General features: G+C 39.1%; 1 protein-coding gene across 11 annotated transcripts in view; it reads right to left on the bottom strand.

Annotated features, from left to right (window-relative positions):
- PIP5K1B (phosphatidylinositol-4-phosphate 5-kinase type 1 beta) overlaps positions 1-20,119 on the bottom strand; it is a 303,937-nt gene that overhangs the window by 274,574 nt on the left and 9,244 nt on the right. For 2 of the 11 annotated variants that reach the window (XM_017015189.2, XM_047423951.1), the window contains exon 2: positions 5,669-5,838. The exons of the other annotated variants lie outside the window; for them this stretch is intronic. The gene's annotated coding sequence lies outside the window, so the exon portion shown is untranslated. The remainder of the gene's footprint in view (positions 1-5,668; positions 5,839-20,119) is intronic. 11 annotated transcript variants of the gene reach the window in all.

The following is a 20,119-nucleotide window of genomic DNA, read 5'->3' as shown; positions in this document are numbered from 1 at the left end:
AAAAATAAGTAGAGAGAAAAAGGAGGAGGATCTTCTATATCCAGTCCATTTTATACATTCTGGACCCATCTGCCTGCTACCAGCAGTCTTCACTGGTCAACCACTCAACAAAGCAGTAGAGATATGTTGGACGTAGCTTTGAGCCTTTGTTCTTATGGTCCTTCCCTCCCAGTTAAGACATCTTTCCCTTTCTATTGTTTCTTCTAGCTTTATTAATTCTGTGTGCCTCCTACATAGGAGTGATCTTTCTCTCCTCTGAACTCTAATAAAACCTGTCTCACTTTGAGTTCCCAGGCAGTTGGTTGTGTCTCACATGCGTATTTCCTCAACAACACTGTAGTAAACTCTTTAATGGGGTGAACTTCATCTACTTTTCTGTATATACTTTGTGCCTTGATCAATCAAATTGTCCAATAAATATTAGCAAGAATTTGAGTACTTAACATTGAGTTTTTAACAATAAGTCAATGAGGTAGGAATATAATTACCCCCATTTTATAGCTGAAAATGCTGAAGAATAAAGTAGCTAAGTGACTTTCGTGGGGTTGCATGGAAGTTGCAGAGCCAGAATTTCAGCCCAAATTCAAGCTCTTAATCACCACAATACATTCTACTGCCTCCTAATAAATATACTAGTTAAATGATCCTTTAAAGAGTCTAAGTATTGCCGGGCACAGTGGCTCACGCCTGTAATCCCAGCACGTTGGGAGGCCGAAGCGGGTGGATCACAAGGTCAAGAGATCGAGACCAGCCTGGCCAACATGGTGAAACCCCGTCTCAACTAAAAATACAAAAATTAGCTGGGCATGGTAGCCTGCACCTGTAGTCCCAGCTACTTGGGTGGCTGACGCAGGAGAATTGCCTGAACCCGGGAGGCGGAGGTTACAGTGAGCTGAGATCACGCCACTGCACTCCAGCCTGGGCGAATAAGCAAGACTCCATCTCAAAAAAAAAAAAAAAAAAAAAAAAAAAAAAGAGTCTAAGTATTTCAATAAGTGGGGATCTCAGAAGAAAAGAGAAAAACCCTTGGTCTGTGACCTCAAACTGACTGAGAAAAATTTTATTCAATTGTTCTCCCCCAAATCTAAATGTCACACAGAGTTTGTGCATAGTATAAACAATAGGATTCAAGGGAAAGAGCAATTTTAAAAATTCTTTGGGAAGCACTGCGGTTAGCCCTCATTCTTCACACTGCTTCACACGTCAACCAGTTAGACTGGTAGACACAAAATGAACAAACAGAGAAAAACGAAATATGCAAGGCTCTGCAGTTTGGAGCCCAATGCCAGCCTGGCTCACACGCTTTGGTGGAACAGGCAAGAGATTAACCATTGTACTGGAGGAATAACCAGCACCTAGTGCCATACTGCATGTGTACAGACGGCAAGCAGCAAGGTTCTCTTCAGCAATCTGCTTCTCATTTCCCACTGGAAATTTTGTGGTTGGATGGTTGGCTTCTTAGAGGACTTCTAAAAATAAGTTACCACCAATTCAACTACACAAGTACATGAGCATTTACAATCACCTTGCGGCCCACACCTAGATCAAATAACTTTCCCTTCTGCTATGAGGAAGAGGGCACCAAAATTCAATGGATGTGCAAAGCATCAAAATTGGTACAGGTTCCAACCACATCATCGTCGTCGTCATCATCATCATCATCTCCCACCGCGCCGCCCCCCCCCCAACCCACCTCCACATCACCAGCAACGGATTATGAGCTTTTCATGGATGCCTGCCCACTGTGCCAGTAATCAATTGTAATGCCCACTCTTTCCAAGAAAGAATTACCCGGCTTTGCCTCAGGGACAGCAGACCTTTCTACTCCACTGTGTTCTTGCCATTTCTGTCATGTCAACTGCTACTTAACTCTGAGCTCTCCCAAAAAGCCATGCCCAGGGAAAACAATGGCCTTCTTACATTTGTTAGATGTGTCAATTTGTCTTCTTTTGGGTTCCACCTGCTTCTGTTTACCAGACCCACGTATCTGGTTTAGCTATCAGATGTGAGACAAGTGCCTCCTCTGATCTCCTCTGCACAAACAGTAGGTGGTCAAAGTTCTGAATTTCCAGAGGGATATAGATGAAGACTCTAAAACATGCTGTGGTTGATCCCTAACACCGGGAGAGTACAAGTTAGACGTGGGAAGAGAATGAATTTCCTTTGAATCCCAAATATGCCAAAGACTAAATGAATACTGATATAGTTTCAGATACTCTTGAATAGTGCTATTAAATAAACAACAACAAAAAAGATCCATGTAATTCAATCAGCAAGACTTTGGAGTAAAGGGAATTCCTTTTGACAACATTTTGTTTATTGAAAAATAAACGAGAGACCCTTCCTCCCGCAAGCAATTTACAATCCAACAGGGAAGATAAGACACACCTGCAAATAACTGAAACTACACCTTGAAAGGTGGTAAGTCCCAAAGGAGAGGTATAAATAAAACACTTATTTCCTCCACCTCCCTATTCCAACATCACAGTAAGAATTTCAGGAGTGGCTAGCAAGCAAATCTAGCTCGTGACTAGTTCACAGCAGCCCCACCCATGGTGCTTCGGTGGAGGCTCAGGAATCCCTCGAAGACAGAGACCAGCCAGAAGTGGCTGAGAGTCAACGCCATTACTTCCCACACCTCCTTCCACAAACATTAAAAAAGGGTTGCAGTTTGCTTATTATAAAATGCTTCCTGAAATACAGTGAAGTGAACAATAGGCAGTTTTCAAAAGTAAACAGTATAATTACAACATTTTATCACTTTTTAAAGTGTGTGACTGTCTCTCAGAGTATTTTCCTAGTATGCATTTGCCCTGTGTACCAGCCTTTCTTCAAATTTGGGTTATACAAACCATCACATGCACTAACCTCAAAGGCTTAATTTGCAATCCTAAGGCTGTCTAACTCCAGCCACATTCAGTACTTTTACCACCTTTCTTTTAATTGCATTATCTTCCCCTAATTGAGTGTGTTTGCCTGGCTCCTCCAACCTGTTGCAAATTCCCTGACAGCAAGGATCACACATTTGTTTTTGCGATTGCCTCCCCAACCACCCACTCAGTCTAAAACGTTAGCCCCTTTGCCCTCCGCACCTTTCAAAATACTTTGCACATAAAAAGTGAAAGGAAGTAGCATTTACTTAGTTCCTGCCACCCATATTCCTTTATCTCGGTTAACCCTCTCAATAATCTATGGAAGTGGTCAACATCAGCCTCATTTCAGAGGCTGTTCTTTGCTGGGAAGACAAAGGAACTGGATCATCACTGATCCTGTCCAGTGTACACAATGCAGTGTTAGCTTCACCTCTTCTGTTTTCCCCACAAAATATATACGTCCTATCCAGACATCAGGGATACCAGAAATCATATTGGCACAACAGATATTCACAAACTGATGTTAAATTGAAACATGGCAAGCTTTAGACATCAAGCGTTCTAGAACAGCCTCTAAGATTCTGAAGCAGCACTTGACCATAACACATGACCCTTGAAACCAAAATTATCACACATATTGAAAGGGATCCACAGGCATGTGCTAAAGGTAACTTTCCTTGACAGTGAAGATTATGGAAGTCATATCTGTTTACTGGTTAATGATTGAAGAAGCATATTTCAACTAAGACTTCAAGGAAACCAGTGGCCTGCCTGGCCCCATTTCAGGGTAATCCTTTCTCATGAAAAGAGGGGAGAAGAAATATTGGATAACTGTATTCAAAATTCTAAATTCAAAACAATCATGAAATCCATTCATCCTTTTCTTGTTTCCAACCTAGTCGATTTGAATTTGTACCCAGCATATACATAAAGCCTACCCACCCATTTTAAGGACTCAATGAATCTTTGGAATTTATTGTCCCATTCCAATACAACTTGGTGTGACAAGCTCAAGAGTTTTATTTCACAACAAAGTCCAGGTCAAAGTCCACTACAGTGACTTCTGTTGGCTGAAATTCTCTGCTTTTCTGCAATTTACTTGTATATGACATTACTCAAAGTGTGATATCTGTTAAGAATTTAGAAATCTGTTTCTATATAGAAAAAAATTTAATGTTGTAACTGGATATGGGCCGCGATAACAGATCTAAAAGTTTCTGTGAAGTTATTTTTTAATCCAAAAATAAATCTCATCTGCTGACATGGCTTACTTTTTGGGAATGAATGTTAGTTTCAATTAGTCTTGAGGAGTATTTCTTCAATTACTCCATCCTCACTTTCATTGGAAGCATAGAGTAGACCCTCATTGGCATCCCATTTCCTGGCTGTTCGTATCAGGTGCTCCAAATCTTGTTGACCCTGGATATTATTTTCTATATCCTATGATATACCTCCTTTAAGTGAATTATATTTTCTTCTGTTCTTCATGCCATATTCATATGCAGCCAAATACACAATTAAAAGGTAAACAAAATCATCAATGCAAATTGTATGTAACCATTCTATGCTTTTTCATCCTGATCAGTGTACTTGCTTATAAACAGTCTTTCACAACATTATGTCTCTTTTTTCACTTAATTTCACACAGACTTCTCCATAATATTCTATCTGCAAGTAATATTCTATTGTTATGAATTATTATGGTTTGTTTAATCATTTCCCCAAATGTTAGATATCGAAGTCATTTTTAGCCTTTCATGACTATAATGAATGTTGTTCTAACAAGATTTTTTTTTTTCTCCTTTGACTTATTTTCCCTTGAAAAGGGAAATTACTGGATCTAAGGGTATATTCAATGAAATGGCTTTTGTTAAATATTGTTGGTACCCTTTAGGAAGTATATACTAATTTGAAAGCTAACAAAAATCTACAAATACCAAATTCTACACAGCCATGCCAACATTGTAACTTATCATTTTATTTCTTAAGACTCAGTTACTTCAGATTGTATTGCTTTTACTATTACTATGGATGATTACTTTTGTCTATGTTGGTCCTTTTCATGTATAAAAATGATAGTACCTAACCTTTGGCCATTTATCCAAATAAAGGTTAGTTCTTGTATAATTATACACATACCTTACATATTCGGGATACTGACCATTATGTGTGTATAGATATAGATATGTTCCCTTTCTCACTGCCTTTTAGATAATCTTAGTTATATTGGTTTTAATATAAATTTTAATACAGTTGAACATGTTAAGAAATTATTTTCCTTTTCTATTCTGGAAAAATCAATTAGACTAGAGCTTTTTTCTATCTCCCAGAAATGAACCAAGATATGCTTTGCCCTAGGTAACAGAAAGCAAGAGTTTACTCCTACTCTTCAATAATCAGTGATTTAAAAATTATATATTTCAAGTAGAAGAATTTGAAAAGTTCTTATAAGAAGGATATTATAAGAACATGAATATATTTGGATATAAATATCTCCATTCATCTAAATATTTTAAATTCTTGTTAAACCTTTCTTCAAAATTCCTTCTTTCTCCCTATGCAACCCCCATATACCAGTACCCTAATGCATTTCTTGCAATTATTACTTTAGAGCTAAGAAAGATAATTTTTAAATGATGATTGAACATATTAATGTCATTAAACATAGGAAGAAATCATTAAGTGTGCCATGAATTACCACTTCTAAGTAGCTACAATTTAACTAGTGTCCTGGCTCACAATCACCATTAGGGAAGGTACCTATGAGTACAATGAATGCAAACACTTTCACTTACAGAAGGCTTGACTTCCCCAGCAGCTCATTAGTCACATCTTCACTGATTAGCAAAACACTCTCAGCTTTAAGCCTCTTCTTGAAATACTGCCTCTTCATGAGACACAGGGCAGGAGGTTCTCGTTGGATATCCTTTCCCTTCACTCAACCCTCTAATGGCTTCTCATCACACTAAGAACAAAATCCAAAGTCATTATCTGGTTCATAAAGCTCTACTTGTCTTGGTCCCAAGTATTCCCCTTCTGCTACTTCTCTCAGCTTTGGCCATTCAGGTTTCCCCCAGTATCTCAAGTGGGCCAAACAAGCTGTGCCTCAGGACTTGGCATTTACTATTCATCCCTTCTACTTGGAATGTTTTCCCCATATCTGCAGTTTGTTTCTCTACTTCATTTAGGTCTTCATCTGTTATGAACTGAATGTTTGTGCCCCCCTCCCCCACATAAATTCATATATTGGAATCCATACCCCCAATATGATGGTATTACGAGGTGGGGCCTATGGGGAATAATGAGGTCATGAGGGTGGAGTCCTCATGAATGGGATTAGTGCCCTCATAAAAGAGACATAGAGAGCTCACTTCCTCTCTGCTGTCTGCATGTGAGGATGCAACGAGAAGATGGCCATCTGTAAACCATAAAGTGAGCCCTCACCAGACACTGGATCTGTCAGCACCTTGATCTTGGACTTCCCAGCCTTCAGAACTGTGTGAAATAAATGTTCGTTGTTTAAGCTACTTGATCACTCAATCTACAGTATTTTGTAATAGCAGCCAGAATGGGCAAAGACAATATTCATGTGCCAGCTCTTTAGAGAGGACTTCTCTCACCTTCCTTTCTAAAATAACACCTCACCACCACCACTACCATCATTCTACTCCTTATCTTGCCTTATTTTCCCCATAGCATCTTGTATCAAATAATGCACTTATTTTTCTTTGCCACTGACTGGGGAAAGGAATAGTCCTAGTACCTAGAGCTGTGTTAATAGGCACTCAAATATTTGCTGAATCATGAATGAACTAAAGTTAAGTATCTCTTTAGGGGATGGCCTCAGAGAACAAGCCAAGTTTAATTAGGATGAAGGAGCACCCACTGTCTGTACTGTGGGGTATCACACCTACCTTCCTTCCATGAGACACACTGCAGTTTTGTAGGGTAGAGAGACGGCTCTGGGGCTGGGCCAGCTGGCTCTGAAACCTGACTGTGTCAACTCAAATAACATACTTAGTATCAGTGCTTCTACGTCTCCTTACCTCCTCTATTAAATGGTGATAATAGTATCCACTCCATGGTTGCTGTGATTATTAAACAAGTGTCACATGTTTATTGTTTAGAAAGTACCTAGAATGCAGCAAGAGCCTAAGTAAGTGTCAGGCGTTTATCAGCACTGACTGTCATTTCAGGACCCCTCCTTTCTTTATATAACTCTAAACATAGACCACTTCCCCATATTCTTTATTTTATATTATTCAGTCTTACCCTCTACCTATTATAATTACTTCATATTGTTTTTATCTTTATGTCCTAATTACCAATATGCCAATAATTTACTTTTTTCAGGGAAACGTATGTGCAAGGCAATAAATTAAACCAGATAGAAGACTTCGTGAGAGTGATCAACTCTTGCTTTTCCTATCCCTGCCACTAGTTTCATTCTCCCAAGGTAACTGTTCTTCAAATTTTGTTTTAGTCTCTTGATAGTTATCTTTACAACTGTTGATACCATGCTTGAATCTCTAGGTCTTGACCCATATCAAGGATTCTCCTCACACTGCCCTGGCCTCCTCTTGAAGTTTAATATATTCTTCTAATTCTTCTGTTTAATTTATTTGCAACGTTAAGTACTAAAGTCTTCATTTTTGTTTTCGCCAACACCTGTTCTGAGGTAAAACTATCTTCATTCATAGACAACATGATTGTCTATATAAAAAATATGTGTGCTAAAAAAAAAAACAACAACTTTACTAGAATCAATACAAGAGTTTAGCACCTTACCAAAAATCATATAAGAATGGCAAATAGGCACATGAAAAGATGCTCAACATGATTAGCCGTCACGGAAATGCAATTTAAAGCTACAATGAGCCACCAGGACACAACTATTTGAATATCTAAATTCAAAAGAACGATCATACCATGTGTTCATAAAAAGTTGAAGCAACGGAAACTCTCATATGAGAATGCAAGATGGCACAACCACTGTGGAATTCCAGCAACTTTTAACAGCTATAGCTTATCTTGCTATTTTAAGAAATGAGGATATTAGCACCCTCTCCTCCCTGATGCCACATCCCACCTCCTGCCAACTACACTTTTTCTTTTGTTGAGGTTGCTAATATTTGTACTGTAGCCTGCAATCATAACCAAGTCTGCCATGCTTAGTCCACAATCTGATTCTAAAAGCAGAAAACTGAGAAACGGCACCTGTATGATTATGATTGTGCCACTCTATTCACTGCCAGCCTAACTAAAGAATTAAGATTTGGGGCTCTTATTATAAATCCAATGTCATGAGTACAGATCCAATTTTGTGACACTTATGCCAATGGTGTTATACTCTATGAGTTTCCCTCATTTTTGGCCAGGTAATTCCAGTCAGATTCCTCTGTCACTTGGTATAGGTCATCAGACTATAATCATTTCAATTTTTTTAATTTGTAATTTTCATTGGTACATAGAAGGTGTATATATTTATGGGGCGCATGAGATTATTTTGATACAGGCATATGATGTATAATAATCACATCAAGGTAAATGGGATATCTATCACCTCAAGCATTTATCCTTTCTTTGTGTTACAAACAATCCAATCACACCCTTTTAGTTTAAATACTTCTATTATTAAATAAGATTTTCATTAGCATTTGAGAAATGTCCAGTTAAAGTCAAACAAACTGAAAGATTCCATAGGTGTTAAAAGTGTTTTCTGGGTGACTTCTAGGAGCTTCTCATATTACATCTAAATGGGCAGCACCAAGTAAAACACTAATCATCCTTGTATGCAAGGCAGAGCATTAGGCACTCAGAAGATACGATAAGTTGGCTACCACATACCATACAAACTAAACGGAATAAGCAATAAACTTATTTAATACTTAAGAGAATTATGTCCTAGTTTGGACCCTCTCACATGAATTATTTGCAGTTCACTAACATTATTTTTCTTTAACAAGTAAGTATGAGTTTTGCTTTCTTCAATAAACGTCCACATTCAGGGTTCGTCTCTTTTTAAAGATAAAAGCATGCCACTCTCCTCATCCATGCTGCTCTCCTCATCCATGCTGAAGGTGATGTTTAAATTCTGGAACTCTAATCAGACTTTAGCAGTGTCCCACTCCTATCTTTGGCCTTAGTGATGGGAGAGAATTCTCCTTTATGGGGACCTCTTGGCTCATATTTGCTTACTCGTGGGCTATAATGGTGGCTACCCTGAGCCTGATCTCTTTCTGCAATTCTTACAAAATAAATTCTCTAATGTGTGCAATGCTTTTGTTCTAAGGACCTCAAAGGTCCTCAGTTCATTTGGCCTCACAACATGTCTTTGAATGAGGTCAGGAGCCAGTGGCTAGATTTTCATTCCATAGATGAGAAAAAGAAAAAATGCACAAATAGGGTCAAGTCACTTGACCAGGGCGCACCAAAGTGTTAGCAGAGAGGCCGGATGAGTCAGACAGAATCCGTGTTTCTTGGATAAGGGCTCTCACTGCATCCAAATTCAACTTGTGCAAGTGTATGCAAAATGCCATTTTAAAACACAGGAAGTTTGACCAATGAGACCAGGAGATAAACTCTGCTCAGGAGAAGCTATAGTAGGTGTAGTGGAACTGCCAAAAGACATATTCTTCTTCTATAGAGTTTAAAATAGTGAGAATGATAAATGACAATAATTCTGCACTGGGTGTTGTAGATCTTCTTGCTAATTCACTTTTTTTTTAAGTCAGAAATAGAACATTCAGCCAAAAACACATTTTAAGCAGGCACTTTTAGTTTGAGGTACATCAACTGATATAAACCTGTACAAAATTTGAGTTGTTCACTTTGTTTCTTTATTCTTCTAGAGGAGAATAAAAATAATCAATAAAAAGTAGTAGAAGGAAAATTGAAAGCCTTTCCACTAAGATCTGGAACAAGACAAGCATACCCACTTTCAAGGGTTACGTTCAAAATAAACATACAAAAGTCATCAGAGTTTTTATATGTGAACAGTGATCAAATCGAAAAAGAAATCAAGAAAGCAACCCCACTTACAATAACTACAAAAAAAAACCTAGTAATAAACTCAACCAAATAAGTGAAAGGTTTCTGCAAGGAAAACTATACAACATTGATGAAAGAAATTGAAGAGGACACAAAAAATGAAAAGATGTCTCATGCTCAGAGATTGGAAGAATATTGTTAAAATGCTTATCATTTTAACAATTAAATCTGTATATCAATTTAACAATTGAATCTGCACATCGCTATACGGAGTAGATTCAATGCAATCTCTACCAAAATAGCAATTACATTCTTCACAGAAATAGAAAAAACAATCCTAAAATCTGTATAAAACCACAAAAGACTGAAAATAGCTAAAGAAATGTTGAGCAAAAAGAACCAAGCTGAAGGCATCACACTACCTAATCTCAAATTATACTACAAAGCTAGAGTAATCAAAACAGCATGGTACTGGCTAAAACAAAAAACAAAAAAAAAAAAACCCAAAAAAAACACAGACACATAGACCTACGGAACTCAGAAATCAATCCACACACTTGCAGCCAACCCATTTTCAACAAAGGCACCAAGAACATACACTGGGGAAAGGACAGTTTCTTTAATAAATAGTGCTGGGAAAACTGGATATCCATATGCAGAAGAATAAAACTAGATACCTATCTTTTACCATATACAAAAATCAACTCAAAATGCATTAAAGACTTAAATGTAAGGCCTAAAACTATGAAACTACTGAAAAAAATTTTGGGAAAATCTTATAAGATATTTGTCTGGGCAATAATTTTTTGGGTAAGACCCAAAAGCACAGGCAACAAAAACAAAATATTAATAGACAAATGAGATTGCATCAAGCTGAAAAGCTTCTGCACAGCAAAGGAAACAATCAACAAAGTGAAGAGACAACCTAAAGAATGGGAGAAAATATTTGCAAACTATCCATTTATCCATTTGACAAGGGATTAATAACCAGAATACATAAGAAACTCAAACAACTCAATAGCAAAAAAAAAAAAAAAAAAAAAACCAAATACTTCAATTAAAAAATGGGCAAAAGACCTGAATAGACATTTCTCAAAAGAAGACATACAAATGGCTAACAGGTATATGAAAAAATGCTCAACATCACTAATCATCAGGGAGATGCAAATCAAAACCACAACGGGATAACATCTCACCCCAGTAAGAATGGCTATTACCAAAAAAAATCAAAAAGTAACAAATGCTGGAGAGGATGTAGAGAAAGGGCAATATTTGTATACTATTGGTGGGAATGTAAAGATGTACAGCCATTACGGAAAACGATGTAAGTTCCTCAAAAGAAAAAAAAAATAGGACTACCATTTGATCCAGCAATCCCACTGTTAGGTATATATCCAAAAGAAAGAAAATCAGTATATCAAAGAGATATCTGCACTCCCCTGTTTACTACAGCATTTATTCACAATAGTCAACACATAGAATCAATGTAAGTGTCCATCAGTGGATGAATGCACAAAGAAAACGTCTCTCTCTCTCTCTCCCTCTCTCTCTCTCTCTCTCACACACACACACACACACAGAGGAATATTATTCAGCTACAGAAAAGAACGAGATCCTGTCATTTGTAGCAACATGGTGGAAACCGGAAGTCATTATGTTACCTGAAATAAGCTAGGCACAGAAAGACAAATATTCCATGTTCTCACTCGTATGTGGGAGCTAAAAATGTGGATTTCATGGAGGTAGAGAATAAAATGATAGTTATGAGAGGCTGTGAAGGGTAGGGGAGACGAGGGGATGAAGAGAAATTGGTTAAGGATACAAAAACACAGATAGATGGGAAAAGTTCTAGTATTTTATAGTACAGTAGGGAAATTATAGTTAATGATAATTTATTGTATATTTCAAATAGCTAGAAGAATTATAATGTTCCCAACACAATGAAAAATGTTTGAGGTGATATCCTCATTACCCTGATTTGATCATTACACAGTGCATACAGGTATCAAAATATCACAAGTACCCCAAACATATCTACAACTATTATATATTATATGATATACTAATAATAAATAAATACATACATGGTAATAAATAAAATTAATTAATAATTATAATAAATGAAATAAAAATAACAACAATATGGTCAGCAAATGAGCCTCCAAAGAGGAAAAAGGGAAAAAAAAAGTAGCAGGAGCAGCTAGAGTATAGAAAGAGCTGTTAAGGGCCGGGTGCGGTGGCTCACACCTGTAATCCCAGCACTCTGGGAGGCCGAGGCGGGCGGAACACTTGAGGTCAGGAGTTCGAGACCAGCCTGGCCAACCATGGCCAGCATGATGAAACCCCGACTCTACTAAAAATACAAAAATTAGCCTGGCGCGGAGGCAGGCACCTGTAATCCCAGCTACTCAGAAGGCTGAGGCCAGAAAATCGCTTGAACCCGGGAGGTGAAGTTGCAGTGAGCCAAAATCGCACCACTGCACTCCAGCCTGGGTGACAGAGGGAGACTCCATCTCAAAAAATAAAAATAAAAAATAAAGAAAGAGCTGTTAGGTTTTGGTTGGGGGAGACAAAGCAGGCAAAGATATGATCCCTGCTGTCAGGACTCGAATCTGCTTGGAGAGATAAGCAGAGAACAAATGAAACAGAAGCCTCTAGGGAAAGTTCCCAAAGAGTCACAGGAGCAAGAGGACCAAAGAGAATGTGTGCCTGAGAAATCACTTCTAGGGAGGCAGAGTGGGGATCAGTGGGCTCAGAGAGGTCTTCCGAAACAGTAGGCTGTACATGCTATCATGAAAATCTGATGCCATTTCCTTAAACAGAGAAAAGAAAACAACGGAATGAGCCACGCTACAGGGAAATGAAATTGCAAGTGAAGATCAACAAGTGATCTTCTGTCTTCTTCTTACACAATTTCAGGAACATTTCATTTAGTCTCATGGTTTTAATTGCTGGCAAGAGCTCATAATACTGTGTCTTCATCATGGCCTCTTCCACACTTACACACAGCTTCTCTTTAGACTCTCCACCTTCATGTCCTGTATCTCAATCTCATTCGATCTCATGCTCTCCCACAGCCCAGATGATATGACCACAACACAGCCAGTGTCTCCATCATGGATTGATCTTACAGCCACATCCTACCTGGATAGCCCCCAGGTATCTCAAATGCATGTCCAAAATAGGACTCATCATCACAGCCCTCCTGCCTCTGCTACCATATGTACGATGCCTCTACCTGGTATTCTCTCTCAGTTGAGCATCATTCCCCAATCTCTCCAGTCACTCAAGCCAAAAGCCAGAGAATCATCTACTACTACCATTCCCCAAAACTCATATCCAGGTGGTCATCAAGTCCTAGAAATTCTCCCTCTTGAATATCAAATCTACTCACTCTTCCCTATCCACACTACATTACTTCAGGTCCTTTTCATCTCTTCTGTGATTAGTCTCCCTATCTCCAGTCTCTTACCCTTCTAATTCATCCCCTAAACTATTGCTCATGTTGCCATTATGAAACAAAATATGACCTCATCACTTCTCCATCAAACTCTTCTAGTTGTTGCCTCATTGCCTGTAGAAGAAATGTTCAAACTCCTTAGCACAGCTGACAAGATGTCGATGGTCTGGCCCGATACACCTCTCCAGCCCTATCTTATTCCACCCACAGCCACCCTACCCATTATCACATTATACAGCTCCAAAATGCACTAACAAGCTTCATGATGTCATGCTTCATACGTGTTATGCCTGGTATAAAGTAAGAGTTTAAGAAATGGTAGCTGCTATCACTGTTATACAGCTATGACAATGACAACAATGATGATGACAATGATCAACAGTCAACTAGGGCCAGAATGTACCCAAACCAAAGCATTTCAGATTTCAGACACGGTAAAGGATCTAAGGATTTCCTGCCACGGCAGTGACAAAATCATTCTCTAGCAGCAGGTATTACAATTGCTTAAAGCGGGTAGATAGGGAGGTATGGAAGTTATTTGGGAAGTTTCTACACCAGCCCAGGTAAGAGACAGTATTACAATTGCTTAAAGCGGGTAGATAGGGAGGTATGGAAGTTATTTGGGAAGTTTCTACACCAGCCCAGGTAAGAGACGTATCTGGAGACAGAAGTGAGAATAGAAGAGAACATTTTTAAAAAATTGGTAGCTGCACAGAGACAGAGATGACCAAAGTAAAAAGAGTGCTAAAATTTCAAAGGTGGGTTAAAAAAAAAATGAGGGTGTGTTTGATAAAAACAGTATTTGGGAAGGGAGGTGGACTGAATTTTTAAAAGGTGACTGCACAGCTGCAAGTATAGAGTTTGTTCAAAGAGGTAAGAGTTGGGATCAAAAAATCAGCTGAGTAGCAAAGAGACCATGGGGCGTGGGGTTATTAAATTGGTCTAGACTTTTAAAGGTGCAAAAAGCAAGAGACAGAAGAAAGACTGTAATCTGGCAACAAACAAGGCTGCTCCTCGGGGAAGGAACTTGAAGCAGTGGCAAGGCTAGATGCTAGGCTACTGAAATTTTGTAAAGGAAGGGGGAGCTCAGAAGTCAAGGGAAAAACGGTTACAGCTTAAGAATTTGTTTTTATAGCTTAAGAATGAGTTCATTCAACAATGATAATAATACAGGCTGTCTTTGTGCTGGACACTGTTCTAGGTGCTGGAGACAGTGTAGTAAACAGAACAAAGTTCCTGCTCTTGTGAAACTTTACCTTTCAGTAAGGAGGCGGACAAATGAAGAAACAAACAAAAATGTAAGGTCAGAAAGTGCTGCTGCTGATCATTTCTAAAGCTTCCAGGCACATGTGTAGGATACTTAGCATTCAGTTCTAAAATGCTTCCAGAAGTCTTTTGACATATGTGGAAAAGACTATTCCTTCTATAAAGTTTACACAAAATGAAATGATGCATCATGTTTGCATTATAAATTGTCATGTAGGAGAGGGAGTTTCTGAGAAACTGCTAAACTAAATAATGAAGCCCAACTGTACAGACATCTTAAAAGCTGAATTTCCATTCTGTTTCCTATAAACAAATGTAAACAAAAGTCGTGTTTCTCTCTTAACCCTTAGCAGGAGAGACTGATTTCCCATTTGTTTCAGTTTCCATAATCTTCACAACTGAGTCTGAACAACACATCTTGAAAAAAATAAAAGGGCATCATTTAAATACAGCTTGCCACAGCAATGACACCGTTGCTTCTTTTTGTTCCCATACAATGCAGTCGTAAACCTCAGAACAGTCTGGTTCACATCACTCCTTAAAAATAAGTTAATTTTTCAGTATTCAGCTTCCTTGTTTTATTGTGGATATTGAACTTGTTTTCCAATGGAAGATGGAAATCAGGAAAATCTGGGGAACTTTGCTATGCAGTTTCTCCAAGGAAAAGAGAAATGCAGTAATCTATAACCTTTAAAGGCATAAAGCATTGCAAATAAAGCTGTTACCAAAATACTCATCAATTGCCACTATGTTTAACTTAAATGAAAAAGTCTATGAAATCCTGCTTTAGACCATAATATAGTAAACACATTATCAATATGTTACAAAAAGAAAGAAAAAAGAAAGCATGCCTATCACAGCCTGAAAAGGTATCACTTTATCTGAACAACCCAAAAACAGGGCAGAAGAAAACATGCTATTGGCTAATGAATGAAGCGAACAAGAAAGAACTAAAGCTTGCTTGCTTTACCAGTAGAACTCTTGAAGACCTCCCTCAAATACTACTTTTGATCCTTTTTTAAAATTTCAGTTTCAATGGATAATATGACTCTATCTGGCAAACACATTTCAGACAGTATGGTTATCTGGTTCCCAAAATCACAATGGACTTTCAATAGCCAACAATGAGTGAAGGGGCTCACTGCTGAGAGCCACAGAAGTAGGGCCAAAAAAAAAATTATCAAGAAAAAGCAGACAAGATTTTAGAAGACAGCAAAGTAGGGCCATTTGGTTTAGGGGCAAAGAGCCTTGCATTCCTGAATGAATACTAAATCTATCACTTTACAGTAGCATAAAAGACACACTCTGTTCTGTATAATCTTTTAAAGAATCAGGGACAGATGAGACAATGCTGGGAAAATTTTCTATACAAAACTTGGCCATAATAATTGCTGGCAGTTAAAGGAGCAAGCAATCAGGAAATGTTTTCTAGAAGTAAAACAGCCTGCCCAAAGGTTCTGCATAGCCAAGGGTTCCCTATTTTGAGCCCCTTCAATTTTGTGCTTCAGTGGCCAATGAAAATGAGCAGGCTTAATGTCTGAAGGAATTTCAGGAAGAAAAAAACTACACCGTCAAATTATTCTTTATTCTTCACATATTTTTAAAGTCAGAGATTGTTTTCCTTACAGTATTTAGGTTCTTACTAAAATAAATTAGTGTGAACTTTAGGGTGAGCACTATAGGAAAAAATACAGACATTTCCCAGGTTAAAGGCCATGTTTGATGATTGAAGCTTACATATGTTTTATGACAGACAAGGCAGCCATCTGAGTCACTTTTGTCCAACTCAAAGTTCTATCATATGTCTACTCTCCAAGTTTTACTATGCCTTCTTGATAAAACTTTGCAAGGGGAGTCTTTAGGGGGTTTTAAACTCACAACTTTCTGTGGTTTCATAGGAGTGGACAGAGCACTATATGTGGAGTCCTGTCAGCTCCTCAGTAAATGCACACCTCTAGGCTGACACACATCATAGGCAGTGCCAGGGGGATGGCAGATTGCACTCATGCTTTCTAAATAAATTGCAGGTCTCTGCCCTTCAGTAGGGAGTAAAGTCAATTCAGTGGCTCATGACCAGTGTATGGTGGAAGTTGGAGTTGGGAGGGAACACAACAGAAAATAACAGAGGACATTTCATGTGGTATGGCTAAGTACTGTTTCATGAAACCTTTATTTCTGTTATATGTATTATTTATATCTCTACGTATATACTAGGTTTCAACACAGGATGTGTTTCTTATAGCACACTGACTGGGCTACAAAGGACTATCCAAGGTACTGAATGTATCCCCCTCAAAATTCATATCAAAATCCTAACCCCAAGATGATGGTATTAGGAGGTGATTAGGTCATAGGGTGGGATTCGGGCTCTTATAAAGGAGATCCCAGAAAGCTCTTTCTCCCTCTTTCTGTCACATGAGGGTACTAGAAGAAGTTTGCCATCTGTAAGCTGGAAGAGAGCCCTCTCCAGAACCTGATCATGCTGGCACCTGATCTTGGACTCTTAGCCTCCAGAACTATGAGAAATAAACTGTTTTTGTTTATGAACCACCCAGTTTTTGACACTTTGTTATGACAGCCTGAACCACCTAAGACAAGTTGGTATTTTTCTCTTATTTACAGTTCAAATTTGACTAACTGGAAAAGCTATGTGCAAAGATTAAATGCAAGCTTGGGTTATGCCAACTTATATTAACCAGTTTTTATAGGATGCTACCGTCCAGTCTCTTATTCTATTCTAAAAATACCTGGATCATAAAAGAGAATCTTTTTTTCAGATTTTAGATTCAGGGGTTACACATGCAGGTTTGTTACCTGGATATATTGCATGATGTTGAGGATTGGGCTTCAATTGAACCCATCACCCAAGTAGTGAACACAGTACCTGACAGGTAGTTTTTCAACCCTTACCTCCCTCCTTCCCTGTCCCCTTTGGAGCTCCCAGTATCTACTGTTCCCAATTTTATGTCCATGTGTACCCAATGGTTAGCTCACACTTATAAGTGAGAACACGCGGTATTTGGTTGCTTCTGTGTTAATTTGCTTAGGATAACGGCCTCCAGGTGCATCCATTATGCTACAGAACATGATTTTGTTCTTTCTTATGGCTGCATAATATTCCATGGTGTATATATACCACATTTTCTTCATCCAATCCATCATTGATGGTCACCTAGGTTGATTCCTTGTCTTTGCTATTATGAATAGCGCTGCAATGAACGTGTGAGTGCAGGTGTCTTTCTGATAAAACAATTTATTTTCCTTTGGGTATATATCCAGTAATGGGATTGCTGGGTTGAATGATAATTCTATTTTCAGTTCTTTGAGAAATCTCCAAGATTTCTCACTGTTTTCCACAGTGGCTGAACAAATTTGCAAACCAAGCAATCGTGCATAAGCGCTCCCTTTTCTCTGAACCTTGCCAGCCTATGTTATTTTTTGACTTTCTAATCATAGCCATTCTGACTGGTATGAGATGGTATCTCATTGTGGTTTTGATTTGCACTTCTCTGGTGATTAGTGATGATAAGCATTTTTTCATGTTTCTTGGGCACTTCTATGTCTTCAAGGAGAATGCTTTAGCCTCCAACTAACTTCTTCCTTAACAACTGCTTCCCTCTTAAATAATTAGGTTCTATTAGCTTTTATATTTAGAATAAATGTTATATTCTGTGATGGGAGAGATCAGACAAACCTATTTAAGTCAAGTTATATGTTATGGCATCCCTTTTAAGTTGAAGCCATATAGTTCTCCATAGATGTGCAGAGCAAGTCAGATGTAACTGGCTGTATCCTTGAAGACAGGAATTCTTTTCAGGACAACCCCCTTTCAACTGCATGTCCATATTCTTTCCTCTAAATAATCATTCCCATTCCTTCACATCTCTTGCTCTGCTTTCCTTCCTTTTACTTTTACAATTCTAATTTTTAAAATAAGTAATCCACACATATGGGTCCAAATTCAGAGGTACAAATAAATATGGGATGAAAATTCCCCTCCCATCCATGCCCCTCAGCTAGCCAATTCACCTCCCCAGAGGCAAACAAAGACACTAGTATCTCAGGTATTCTTCCAGAAATATTTTATATCATGCCTTTGGGGCAACCTTCCTTGGGGATAATACCTGCAGCTACCATTATAGAAATGCGGCTCATGACAGGTGAAATTAGGCAGTGGTAATGAAAGTTGAAGATCAAGTTCATGGACAGGATCGGCAATATGAAGTGGTTCATTCATGATCTCTGTGCATTTCCTTTCTTTAGTGGGAATTTACGAAAAGGATTTTTTTAAGGTAGAAGTATTGGTATTCATTTACTTATTCACTCAAGACAATTCTACATGTGCCGACACTATGGGGATGCAATGGGCCCTGATGATTAGCAGCTGGTGGGGGCGAGGAAACTAGTCAAATAATCATACTGTTGAAGCCCTCCTGGAGAGGGAACCACTGGTCCTGTCCTAGACTGGGGATGGGTGGCCAAGGCCTCCTTTCAAAAGTAACCTTAGAATTGACCTGAAGCGTGGTCGACCGATGCTGAGAACATTCCAAAGGGGGCAACGAGAGTGCTGCACAGAGGGTGTGAAGCTGGCAGTTGCAAGTGTGGCTCAGAAACAGCAAGGGGCAGAGTGGTGGATCTGAGACTGGAGTGGCAGCAGGACCAGGACCGTGCAGGGCTCTGGAACCATGTCAATGACCCACATCTTCACTCCAGGCACAAAGGGAGGCCATTGAAGAGTCTGGGGCAGATCCCTGTGCTTCTCTCTGTCCAGCACCCCCAGCCCCAGGCCCCACTCCTTGGTCAGGAAGTTTTTCCTGCACCCATGTCAACTGGTTCCTGTTATGAGGAAATACAGAGAGAATGATTTTGAGTCATGTTTCTTTATCTATCCTGCCAGTTATGCAAAGCAACCCAGGCCTTTTCCTCAAAGCTGCCAGGATAAGCCACAGTCAACAGTCAGAGACAGGTGCCTTTTGGGAGAGGCTTAGATTTTATTCCTAGACCACAGGTGGTGAATTTCTCTGCTATGGTGGCCACAAATGTGATATTGCAGGGTCCTGGGGGAACTCAGGGGCAGAGTATAAGCAACTGTGGAAGTAGAGCAGTCTTTGGTTCTTTGTTGGAGTGAGTGGAGTGCACCTTGGGAACTGCCGGAGAACTCTTAAGAACTTGGTATTTGCGGTAGGGTTGGGCAAGTCCCTAGAGCTACACTGGAGTTTCCATCCTGTTCCTTTAAAAGTAGTTGACTGTAGTTATGAACCTGCCTCTGACTGGACTCCAGGAGAGCAAAAACATCAGGGTAGAAAGCTACTTGGAAAAACAAGTCCTCAGAGGCTGTCCAAGAGCTCAAAAGGCCACTGAGGTGGAGAGCCCTGGGGTCAGAATTTGTGTGCTTCCGTGAGGGTTTGGCAGGGTACAGGAAGCAGAGATCTGGCCAGCAGAGCCTCAGGTGCCCTCCAACCATCACAAGTGCCCTGGTTACAATATGGGTAATGGATTCTAGGAGACCCAGAGTGGACTCAGGATACCA

This window comes from Homo sapiens, chromosome 9 (assembly GCF_000001405.40).
Source record: "Homo sapiens chromosome 9, GRCh38.p14 Primary Assembly".
Lineage (NCBI taxonomy): Eukaryota > Metazoa > Chordata > Mammalia > Primates > Hominidae > Homo > Homo sapiens.
Note: the sequence above shows the minus strand (reverse complement) of the source record. Positions and strands in the feature narration are given on the sequence as shown.